Raw genomic sequence first — 11,816 nt, 5'->3', positions numbered from 1 at the left:
AAAGAGTCTGATGGGAATTTTTATCTCAGAGGACTCCAAATTGTGGTGGCTGGTTTGTTTTCCTTTTAGGGTGGGTGTGTTTTGTTTTGGGGCTTTTAATTTTTTCCCTTCAGTCCAAAAATGGATTGAAAGGACTGGGAAGGCTGATTCCAGTCCCTAATGGGGGAAAATGTTTCATTGTAGGACACAAGAGGCTTAAGTACGGCAAAGCCTTTCATATCGTGATTTATTTGTCATAAGCAAATAAAATGCGGTTAAGCTGTCTCCTTTTAGACAGAAGGCTCTTTGGTTATTAAAGTTCCGAGAGAGGATTCCATGAGGCTGGCCTCTTTCCTCGCAGCATAAGAAGGTATCGCTTTCCTCTGAGGTGTTTAAGGCTTTAATGAGTATAATTTTTTGCACAGATGTTTCTGGGTGTTTGCAGGTTTTCAGAGTATTTTTATATTACAAAGAAGCTAGCCAGTGCCATAGCTCAAACTCTGACAAGCAAATAGATAATCAAGAAGACAAATGGCCTCTTTTGTGAAGCCTTGCTCCAGTATTAATTTTCATTTTCTTTCTCATAGAAAGTATCGAAAGTATGACTGGGGACCAAATAGCTTTCTGTCTCTGAGGTCCCAGTCACCCCTAGAATGGAGTGGGGGTAGGGGAAAGGGGTGCAGGTGACCCTCAGAAGCTCTGTCAGGCTCAGATTGCTTTTGTGCAGCACTGCTTGGAAGTTCTAAGGTCTGGGGGCTCCAGCCTCAGGGTCTCTGGTCTATTGGTCATCCAGGGTGCAGCCACCACATCTCCAAAAAGCTCGGGGCTCGGGAGAGCATATGCAATTAAAAGTCGTTTTTTCAGTCCCATCTCCTTTCAGAAAATAAAAAGAACCAATCCCACCCGCGCGTTTTATTGTTATTTATTTTGCATTCCTCCAGCTTGCAGCTCCGGTAGTTGGAGGCTGGGTAGGGCAGGGGGAACCGACAGGCCGGTGTCCCCAGCCGCAAAAGAGCTGCTGAACTGTCCGTTTAAATGCTGCTGGGAGACTCGTAAAAAAATCATCGTGGACCTGGAGGATGAGAGGGGCGAGCTTTATTTCGGTCGGATTGCGGTGTGGTGGTTTAGCTGCAAGGGGATGCCGCAGCCCCAGTTGAGGGGGAAAATAGTTCTTAAAAAGCATATGCCCCCCTAAGGAATGTCTCTAAAGAACCAAATCAAAGCTGCTCTTTGGAAGGTATGAATAGAATTTAAAAAAAAAAGATTTCTATGGAGCTTAAAGTTCACAGCCATTCTGTGTAGACAAGAGCTAAGAAAAATGTGAGAATTATACAGAAAACCATTAATCACTTCTTTTCTTTAAATACGTATCCTCTCTCCTTTGTTATTATTCAACAGCAAATCTCCTTGGACCGGCTGTTGGGGGAAAAAAGTGTTAGCCGTCTCTCCCGGATCTGCAAGGGGGAAAAAATTTGGAACCATAAAGTTGAAAACTTTTTTCTCTCAGTTTGGAAGAAGCCCTTCGTCATGAATGGGATCTGCAGAGTTCGGGCGAGAGGAGGCGAGAGGCGCAAAGGTAACAAAGCCCGGGCCCGGGCTGGCGTGTTTTGATCGTTTTATGAGCTCTTTTCACAACTGAAAGAAGAAACACTCTCTCGCCTCTTCCTTTTTCTTTTTTAACTTTCTTGGCTGGGTTTTTATGGTGGATGCTTCAGCAGGTTTGCTCCCTTTTATGATGACTGATGCTTGGGTCAGAGGGAGAGAAAGAGGGGCCTCGACACCTGGAGAGTGTTTGAACTGGTTGGGACTGAGGTGTCAGGGCCCATGAAAAACCCCAGAGAAGACGGTTGTTTTGTGAGGCAGTTCAGAAGCGCTTTTCTGGTTTTGGAAAATGCAGGCAGGCACAGCGAGCCCCAGCATGTGTGCATGGGTGTGTCTAGTGAGGTCCACATGTGGTCGGTGTGTTCCTGTGACTCTGCTTGTCTACACTGGGTACTGGTGTCCCCTATGCCTGTTTACCAGTGAGACGTTGTCACTGCTGCCTCTTGGAAAAATCAAATCCAGTGCTTGGATGGAATGTTCCAGCTTTGGAGCGGGTATAAGTGGATATGTTCTTTTTTTTCTTCTTGTGTCTAGCTTGGGATTCTAGACAAATATGTGCTACTCTCTGGAGCAGGAAACTGCTCAGTTCACAGACAAGGTGGACTGATGCAGAAATATTTCTCTTCTGCTCTGTCCCCCCAGCCTTCTTCCTGGAGGAGCAATGTTGGTTTGGTTTGGTTTGGTTTCCCTTTGCTCTCCTAATTTGAGGTCTCTGTTCTCTCCTCTGCAGCCCTGTTTCTTAGGCTGAGGGAGTCAGTGGGCTCTGCAGCCGACCTGAATGTGTTGGCCCTTTTTCCCTGAGGCCTCACTTAGGGTTTGGAGGCGGGAGGCTGGCAGGAGAGAGAGTTCATGGAGAGGCCACGTTTTCTAGGCGATTAGCTCAGTATTAGAACCACAAAATGACCTCGGAAGCCCCTTGACCTCGCTGAGACTGGACATTGTGTTGGCATTTGCCTCCTGCCCAGGAGGGAGAGTCACACCTCTGCAGGGAGGGGTCCTTGGCCCATCATATGTCCCATCTTCTCCATCCCCCTCTAGGCCCCAAACCCATCTTTGCTATTTTGGAAATTTTGGATTATTTTTCTATTACTGCCCACTGGGGGAAAAAAACGTAAAGATTTTTAGCCCAAGGGTCCAGTTGGGGGACGAAAGTAGGGTGCTAATCTGTCTCTCTGTACACAGCACCTTCAGCAGTCCAGGCTCCAGCCATCCTCCCCGCAACCACTCCCAGGTCCAGTTCATCTCTTTACTATTTCACCTGGAGGGAACTGAGGGAAGAAAGACAAAGGGAGAAGATATGAGAGGTTGGAGGGGCCTAATCCACAAGGCTTCAGAGGGCCAGGGGAATAAACTCCTGGGCTGCGAGGAGAGAAAGGGCTTATCCGCCCTGAACATTGCTTCAGAGGCTGTCATCTCCCTGAGGGCTGACATCCAAATCCACAGCCTGTCAACCCATTTTCTGAAGTTCATTTGTTGAGGAAGCTATTTCTATAACTACCTTTACCTCTTTCCCCTAATTCTCAATCTCCTCAATAATGAAAAAAGCCCTTGGAGTGCCTCACCCACCAGAGGAGCAAGGGAAATGGGAGGAGGATCAGTGCAGGCTATTCTGAGTACTTTCCAGGGCCTGCTGTCCCAGGTTAGCCAAAGTTTCCAGAAACTTTTAAGAAATAGGTGAAGGATTTGCCAAACAGTGAGCCCTGAACATAGAGCCTTTCCAAAAACTGTATTCTGTTTGCTGTATCTTAAAAATCCACACCAGCAGCCACCCTCTTAGGGAGAGACAGAGACAAAGAGAAAGAGAAAGAGAGACAGATACAGACAGACGCTGGCTGGGAAGATGAAATGTTACCCTTCAGTTAAGACTAGGAGAGACAGAACCTTGCTGGGATATGTGGGTTGTTGGTTTGCATTTTGTAAATTGTTTCTTGACATTTGGGGACTCTATCTCAGGCAAGAAATAACTGGAGTGGTTGATACTCTCTCCTTTGTCCCTGGGTGGCATAAGTAGAGGGGCTGGAGGCCTCAGGAAAGACAGAGGATGAGCACAAAGCTAGCTAGGCTGCTCCTGGACTAAAAATATATGGGGCTCAGGGAGATGTGTATTCATTACCTGTAAGGGCAGATAGCCAGTTGTGGGCCTTCTACAGGCTCAAGTGACAAAGACCTAGTCGCCGAGGACTTTACAAACTGCTTTCTGCAATGTGAGGATTAGGGCCCACCAAAGGGAAAAGGAGAGAGACCATAGTCAGGGAAGCCTGGGGTTCACTAAGGGGAACTGCCAGATCTCCCATTTCCTTCACTCCAGACAATCCTAGTGCCACTCCAGTCCTCCCAACCTTTTGACTTCTTTCCCTCTTTCTCCCCAGTTCCCTCGGCCCTCCCCATTCTCCCTCCTACTTCCACCCGCCTGTCCTGGGCAGAGGGGGTTGCCCAGTTCTGCCAGAGCCCTTGAAGGCGGCCCCAGCGCTGGCAGTGGGTCTCCCTGGGAAGCGGCAGCTGGGGAGGGGGTCTGGTTGGAAAACGGAGTTGGGAAGTTTCTCAGCGTGAGTTGAGCGCTGACGGATTTGTGATCAGCCATAAAACTGGCGCGTTCAGATTCGTAAATCAATCTCGCCTTTCTCACAGTGTAAACGTTCGCTTTATCGGCAGCAAGAAAGTGCTCGGCTCGCGATCAGGCGCTTGTTTATTTGAACGTGGACATTCCCAGGATCCGAAAAGAGTATGGTCATTTTAACAGAACCTGCTGGCGTGCCTTCGTGTCATTTTGCTGTTCTTTTTCTTGTCCTTAAAAATTATTTCTCCGTTTTAGAGATTGCTGTCTTCCCACATCCAGCATTTCTCTCTCCTCTCTCTGCTCTCTCTCTATTTTCATTTTAGACTTTAGCAGAGTGTTTTTCTCTGGAGGACCATTTTTAATGGATTTGTGGCCAGAACGTTTCAGGGAGTTGCCCTCGCTGGAGCCGGGAGCAGGGCCCACATCGGGATCAGGCTGAATTCAATACCAGTCTGTGTTTTGTATCTGGACAATCAAAGCTGACCACCTCCCCTACAGAGTCCAGGCCTGGCCGGCGCCCCCACCCCATGAGGCCAGAGCAGATTCCAGTGCTCTTAGCTGGGGCAGAAGCTGTGCAGCTGCCACTGTAGCTGGAACCTCCGAGGCCGACACCGGGGTGGCTGTTTCTTTGGGGCTTGTTAAGACAACCGGGTCCTCAACCTTCTCTCCACTGAGTTGCTTTTGGTTTAGACCCCTTCGAACAAGCCGGGGGAGGCCCCTCAGACCCCTGCTCCCGTACCCTGAAGCTCATTCTTCCTGGATTCCCTGCCTGCCCCGGAGGCTGTGGTCCTGGCTGCCTCCAGAGCTGCTGAGGACAGATAAGGCTGCGACTTCTTCAGGAATGTCTTTTCTGCTTCCCTTTGCATCCCCACCCCCCATCCCATGCCCCGGCCGAGAACTCTGATTCTAGTTGCACGTAACTGGTCAAGTTTGGATGGGGGGTTGTTTTTGTTTTATTTTGTTTATATTTGAGTTGAAGGGGTCTGTGTGTGTCTCTCTCTTTAGGCCTGGGGAATAGATAGTCCCTGGTATTTAACCCTTTAACAGGCATAGCCATCCCCCATCTTTTTCCCACTGATCAGCCTCCATTGTTTGTTGATTGGAAGCTCGGGGTGCTAACACCTGGGAAATAGGGATCCTGGGGCTGCCAGGCTGACTTCAAAGCTTTTCTTTTCTTTTCCCTCCTCTCCTGTTCAAATCTCCAGCTGTCTTCACTGGTGGGTTTGGGAAGGGGGGGAAATGAGACAGGGTGTGACATAGGTAGAGAGAGGCTGACAGTCCGATTCTTTTGTGTAGAAACCTTAGTCCCAGTCTTTGTCTCTAGAATCTATTTTCAAACGGTCAGTCGCATTTGATTTCCTATAGTAGTAACAACACAACAGGGAAAAAAGTCCCCCTTGCGGTTATTCTCAACTCTGGAAGCTCCAGAGTAATCTCTTCACCCTGTCCCTTTTTTGCCCCTTCAAAAGGTACCAGAAAAGATCAAAACGAGAATAAAGCCAGAAGCCCCATTATTTATCCACTTATACCATGGACTTATGAAGTGTTTATTTTCAAAGTGGCTCCTTCAGAAATTTTGTCCATTATTTAGGAAGAGAGGGAGTGGGTCTCACTCAAGTAAATATCCCCAGGAGTTGGGGAAAAAATGGAGTTGGGGAGGGAACCTTAATCCTAAAGGATGCAGAGAGAAGAACTGGAAGCTGAGAAATCCAGGGGCTTGGAGAAGGGCTCTGAGCCCACCCCACCCCCACCCCCTAGACGCCCCTGCAGACTATTTCTGCACCTCCACGAACTAAGCAGAAGCAGGAGGAGAAGGGAGAGAGGAGAGGTGGGCTGTGGGTAAGTGTGTGTCCATGGGGGTTAGGGAGCTGCAGATGTAGTAGGTATGGATGTGAGTGTGGGAGACAGACGGAGACCTCACTACTGTTCCATTGGTGGGTTGAGGGGGAACTTATTTTGCAGGAAAATTTCTCCTCCTGAAGGGGAAGGTCATAGTGGTCCTTTGAGCCTGAAATCGAAAGACCCCCTTCCCCCTCCCGGTCACGTGATTCATTAAATAATTAATGCCGAGGTTGCAGAATAGATATGTATTCGTCAGGAAAATCGCAGGCTCGGTCTCCCTGTTTCTGACGTGCAATTCAACTGTCCTTTGAAAAACAAGCCTGTACCCCGAGAAAAAAAAAGAGAGGGGGGAGAGAGAGAGGGAGAGAGAGAGAGAGAAAGAAAGGGAGACAGCAATAAAACAGCCCCGCAGCCGGAGCCACACCGCGGGCTGGGGTATTGTAAGTAGAAGGGATTTCTCACTACCTACCGCGTCTTATATGTCCATGTAAATTTATTGTTTGTTATTAATGTTATTGTCGTAAAATGTGACAAATAGCCATCTTCATTTCCTGCCATTTCTCTTCACACGGTGCTCTGTGTGTTTATGCCCATTGAGGCATTGCATAGAGATTTTAGGAATATTCTTCTTTTCTCTCTCTCTCTTTCTCCCTCCCTCCCTCTCCCTCTCTCCCTCTGTCCTCCAACCTTTTTCTTGATTTATAGCAATATGGGTGTCAGCTTCTCAGCCGGCATGCCAGCCATTGTGTGTGTGTGTGTCCGCGCGTGTGTGTGCGTGCGCGTCTGCGTGTGTTTGTGAGCGAGTTGTGTTGTTTATGGCCATGTCTTCGATAAATCATTTTTCACGGAAAATGATGTGGAAGCTGGGCTGTTTCTGCGGCCGGCCGGGAGAGAGTCGCTCTCGGAGGCACTTCCTCCCTCTCTGCTCTGCTCCCAGGAGTTGGTTATTTCAGACGATTTACAGTAATATATCAGCAGTTAATATGAAAGCTCTATAGCTGGAGGTCTTAAATTACAGCATCTGTGATTATCAATTAAAGCGAGATTTTCATAAATTTGGTAAACCAGAAATGCCTCATTGGCATATAAACCCAGTCAATGACCATGGTCTAATATAAAAATTATATTTGTGAGCCTGATAGAGCCAACATTCCTGCAGCAGCAGACAGAGCTCCATTTTTTAGCAGCTCCCCTCCAGGAGTTTGGCTTCTCCAACTCCAGCCCTGGATGAACAAACCCAACTCTGAAGGCAGAAGGAGCCTTAGAGTAAGAGAGGTGGAAGTGGAGAAAGAAATTACTGGAGTTGAAGGCAAATATTTTTGTGATCAATGGAGACCAAATCAAAGTTCTGTGCAATTGGAAAGGGATGGGAGGGGTTCCGTTACATTATTAAAGCTTAATTTATAGGACTGATGTGTCTGGGGGGTGGTCAAAGGTGGAAAAGGAATCACCCAAATTGGGGGAGACAATGGAGGCAAGCAGAGGGTGAAGGGCAGGGAGAGAAGCTGAAAGCTTTGGCTCCCCACCCTCCTGGCTAACAAAACAAGGAAATGAATTCACACCCCAGGAGCCTTCCTTTGACCTGCTGAAACAAAGAAAAGTTTCCTCAGCAGTGAGGGACTCTGTGTTTGGGGCTAAAGTGGGGAGAAGTTCTCCGAAGTTTTTCTAGAAAAGAAATGTTCTAGGAATCAGGTGGTCCCAGAAAGTTGGGAGTGTTGGAGGATGTTGGGTGTGTTCTTTTAACTAAGTCCCCATCCAAAAAGGGAGCAAACGGGGTGCAGATTGGAGAGGGAGGGGAAGAGCTGTTAACTTTCTCCTATAGTTTCATGTGGAGGTCACAGTTCCTTCCTACTAGGGGAGAGGCTGCTGGTCAAGAGCAAAGCCAGAGGTGGCTTTGGGGAATGTTCTGCACTGTGCCCCAAAGTTGTGATGGATGAGGTGCAGAGGGCCAGAGCCTTCACCAACTCCAGTCCCAGCTGTTGGCCCCTCATTCCCTGACTGGAGCCAGGCCAACTGACTTTATAGCCACGATTATCTGTGATATTTAACTCTGCCTGCTAGTGTAAACCTTTGAGCAGGGAAGTTAGAGCAACGCCGCGCCCAGGTGTTAATTATTCATGGCATCCACTACGTGGAGTGGCAGCTTAGGCCCCAGTCCCTGCAGCATCCAGGAGCTCGCTCCCACACTCTGCTCCAAGTGAACACTGAGTCTCATCCATGTTAACAAGGGATTCTCAGTGGGTAGTGGGTGAAGCCTCCCAATTCAGGAGTCTCAGTTGAAAAGGGTTTGGGGAGAAAGAGAAGGCCAGGACCCAAGGCTGGGATGGGTAGAGGCACTGTCTGACCTGGATAAAAAGAACTAGGGAAAAGTCTGGATACAGGGGCAGCTTTGACAGCACTGGAGATTGTGAGGAGGTGGGAAGGGCTGGCAGAGGCAGCAAAGAGACCTGGGGCATAGGGGCTCCAAACCTTTCAGTCTCATTCCCCACCCACTCCTTGAGTGTTGGAGAATCCCACACACATTCAGTGTGAGAGGCAAGCAGTTCTACTTCTCCCTCATCTGGAAAGTGTTGGGGGGTATGACTGTGAAGAGGGTGCGTTCTCCCTCAAACCGGTGGTCCAGAGTTAGGGCAAAGTCTTGGAGTTTTTGAGAGAGCAGGGAAGGATCACTTCTTCCATGGGGAGGAGGAGGGACATGACAGAGAAGGAAGAGGGTAGAATCATTTGTATTAGCTTCTGAATTCAGCATGCTTTGAAAGATGGGAAAGAAAAGGATCTGCTCTTTGGGCCAGCCCATAGCTAGCATGGAGAGCCAGTCCCACAGGCCCCTTCCCCCTGCGTTTGCAACTCCTCCTCCCCAACCCTTTTCCATCTCCCCTCCTGCTGCTACCTTTGCCTGTGACGTGGAAGTCTGACCAACCACCCCCACCCCCACTCCACCAGCTTTTCCTCTTTATTCTTTCAGCCCTCTTCAGGTCTTTGTCTCCTCTGGCCCAGAGGAGAGGAGGTGACACTGATACCCCCTCCCCTTCCCTTTCCCCAACACGCACAGACTCTTCCCCAGGAGACAAAGCAAGGGGACCATCCCTTGCCACCATTATCTGGTAAATCCCCCATGTGATGCCTAATGCCTTCCATCCAGGCATCTAGGCCTACCCCAAATCAGCAAGTTTGAAAGGACTTTGTTGTTTATATATACATTTGCTTCATTTAGCTATGAAGCACCCTGTCTCTTACCAGTCCTGCACCCTCCACCCCACTGATTTGCTTTTGTGTTGTTCAGGGGTTGGGATAGAATGCATCTGGTAGACAGAGCTCTAAGAAAGCTGCTGACTCTGTCTTCTCCCCTAACTCTCTGCTGGTATCCTCTCTATATAATTGCAGTGTTTATCTCTGTGCCTTTAAGGAGGCAGGCTGCTAACGCTTTAGTGACCAGAGGAATTGGATAGAAAGATGAAGAGTGAGATGAGGAAGAGAGGGACCCAGAGAGAGAACAAGCAGCAGGATCCCTTTCTGGGATGGGAAGTCAAGGCTGAGCCCAAGGAGGTGATGACAGGGAGAGTGGAAACAAAGGCCAGTCAGAGGGGAAGGGAGGCTGTCCTGGAGGAAGGAGCCCCACAATTCACAAGGGGACACACACACAGAGTTAAGTGAGAACAAGGGCAGTGGGAAGGAAACTACCCCTTTTGTCCCCTTCTCTCTAGAAGAGAATTTCTCTGGATAGAGGGTGGGTTCCCCCACAGAGGAAAGGGAAGAAGAGACTCAACCTAATGGGTGAGCCCAGAAGTGATTTCTGGAGACACTCCTAAATCCTTTGCAAGGCTCAATTCAAATTCACTGAAGACACTGAGAGACGCAGAATTGGAAAAAGACAAAGGGGCTGTGAGAAAGGAACGGAGACAACAGAGATGGTTAGAAAAGACAGAGAGACCCAACACAGAAAAAAAGCCCAAACCCTTTGGGGAGCAGGCACAGAGGGAAGCCCCTCCAGGCTCCCTGCTCCCTAGCAGCCTTCTTTACAGGAAGCTGCCCAAAGCCCAGGCCATCTCAGAAACAACTGCCTCTAGAGTAGGCCCTTGGGGGTGCTAAATCAGGTGTGAGGCAGCTGTGGCAGGAGCTGAAGTGCCAGGGAATGGCCAAGATGTCCAGGACACTTCAGCCTCCACCACAATCACCAGCATCAGTAACTTAATCATTGGGACCTCCCCAAACAGAATTTCATCATGGGGGTGGGGGGAGTTGGGACTTTCACACCTGGACCCTGGAATCCTTTCTTGGCTTTTCTTCCCCCTTGTGGGTTTGGTCTCTTTTTTTCTCTAGGGACCTGGGGAAGTTGTTGATCTTCCAGCCGCCTAAGAACTTTCACCTCCATTCCACATCTCCTCCCTCAAACTCCCAGCCTTAACAAGCGGATGCTTCCCCTACTAATCTCCTTCCTCCCCCATCTTACAGGAAAGAACAAGAAAAGGAAAAAGAGAAAGCAAGTTCCTACCAGCCTAAGCAGCTTTAGAAAACTCGAGGGAAAAGGGGAGATGCAAATCTTTCTCGCCCGTCTGATCCTTCCTATTGCCCCCTCGCCATTGCTCTGTTCCCTCCATTGCCGCCCTCCCTGTCCCCACTCCTGTCCTGCCCAGAACTCTCTCCCTTCCCCTCCCTTCTCTGCCGGGTCGGACATATGGAACCCATTTCGCTGGTGACATTGAAGAGTCGCCGGTGTGCCCGCCTTCCGCCATGGCGCCCCCGGCGCTCCCTACGCCTCGCCGTGCCCCTGTCAGTTGCCGCTCCTCTCGCCTGGCAACTTGGCCCGCTCTCAAAGCCCGAGTTCAGCTCGGTGCCAGACGAGCCCGGGGTTCCCGCAGCCCTGCGCGGCCCGGACGGAGTGGGAGCTTCTCAGGAAACTGGCGTCTGCCGCGCCCGGAGTGCCAGATCCGCGCGCTCCTGGGGCCCTGGAGGCCGAACAAAGCCGGGGGCGGGGGCGGGGGCGGGGTGGGGGCGAGCGCATCCGGGCCTCTCCCCCAGCTCGGCGGGACGCTCGGGGGTTGCTGGGGGTTGCTGCGGGTTGAGCGACTAGGATGCGGCTGGCTGCGGCGGCGGAGCCCCAGCCTGGGCCGAGGGTCCGGGGCCTGGCAGTCGGCCCCCGCGCGCACCCAGCGCCCGGCCGCCCGCCGTTGCCCGCGCCCTAGCGGAAGACCGCACAGGTAAGTGTGGGGTGCGGAGCCGGGGCGCTCGGGGCCTGGCGGGGGTGCAGAGGTGGGTGGCTGAGACCCCCGCCCCCAGGCCTCTCTCCTGGGACAGGCCGGGATCCGAATTGAAGACGAAGATGAGAGCAACTTTGAAAGGCAGGGTGGGGGCTTCAAGGGGGTAAAGGGACCTGGGGGTGGAGGACGAGTGTGGAGGAATGTGGAGCTGTTTGGGTGGGCGTGTGGACATGATCTTGTTAGGGGATGGGAGAGCCCTCCCGCTCAGAAAGGGCGTTGAGGCCCAGGAGGGTTTTCCAGGGCAGTTGGGGGCTGTGGGTACTGAGGGAAATGTGAGGGGCATCTGTTAGGGGCAGTGGGGTTGGGGGGCGACCGCTGGGTCAGCTTCCACAACCCAGCTGCCACCATTGCCCAACCCTTTAGCACCTAGCGGGTTATTTGAAGGCAAAACTACAAGGGATTGCACTGAGGCTGAGTGTTAAGCCCAGAAGGTAGGAAAGGGGGTGATTTATGGCTTCAGAGAAGCTGTGTTTACTCCTGCCTGCTCTGGAAACCAAAAACCAAACAGAGCAGAGGCCAGAGAAGCCCCTCTCCTTGGAGTGGGAAGCGATGCCAGCCTGACGCACTGGGATTTATTT

The 11,816-nt window shown here is 50.7% G+C and overlaps 1 protein-coding gene across 16 annotated transcripts in view, besides 2 other annotated features; it reads left to right on the top strand.

The window, feature by feature from the left end:
• HOXB3 (homeobox B3) overlaps positions 1-11,816 on the top strand; it is a 41,372-nt gene that overhangs the window by 14,850 nt on the left and 14,706 nt on the right. For 5 of the 16 annotated variants that reach the window (XM_047435907.1, NM_002146.4, XM_024450737.2 and 2 more), the window contains exon 1: positions 944-1,555. The exons of 2 other annotated variants lie outside the window; for them this stretch is intronic. Coding sequence is in view for 4 of the 14 variants with exons in the window: in XM_047435900.1 (XP_047291856.1) it covers positions 10,712-11,178 (467 nt within the window). In the remaining 10 variants the exon portion in view is untranslated. Of the gene's footprint in view, positions 1-294; positions 350-943; positions 11,179-11,816 lie in introns of those variants that run through there. 9 more of the 16 variants (XM_047435900.1, XM_017024560.2, XM_047435901.1 and 6 more) reach the window with 6 other exon arrangements.
• Positions 4,654-5,505: an enhancer, noted in NCBI's record as "OCT4-NANOG-H3K4me1 hESC enhancer chr17:46647249-46648100 (GRCh37/hg19 assembly coordinates)". NCBI's record gives its function as "activates a minimal SCP1, AML or CMV promoter by ChIP-STARR-seq in primed H9 embryonic stem cells {active_cell/tissue: H9 hESC(primed)}" and the evidence as "EXISTENCE:reporter gene assay evidence [ECO:0000049][PMID:30033119]".
• Positions 10,235-11,039: an enhancer, noted in NCBI's record as "H3K4me1 hESC enhancer chr17:46641715-46642519 (GRCh37/hg19 assembly coordinates)". NCBI's record gives its function as "activates a minimal SCP1, AML or CMV promoter by ChIP-STARR-seq in primed H9 embryonic stem cells {active_cell/tissue: H9 hESC(primed)}" and the evidence as "EXISTENCE:reporter gene assay evidence [ECO:0000049][PMID:30033119]".

This window comes from Homo sapiens, chromosome 17 (assembly GCF_000001405.40).
Source record: "Homo sapiens chromosome 17, GRCh38.p14 Primary Assembly".
NCBI classification, from domain to species: Eukaryota; Metazoa; Chordata; class Mammalia; order Primates; family Hominidae; genus Homo; species Homo sapiens.
Note: the sequence above shows the minus strand (reverse complement) of the source record. Positions and strands in the feature narration are given on the sequence as shown.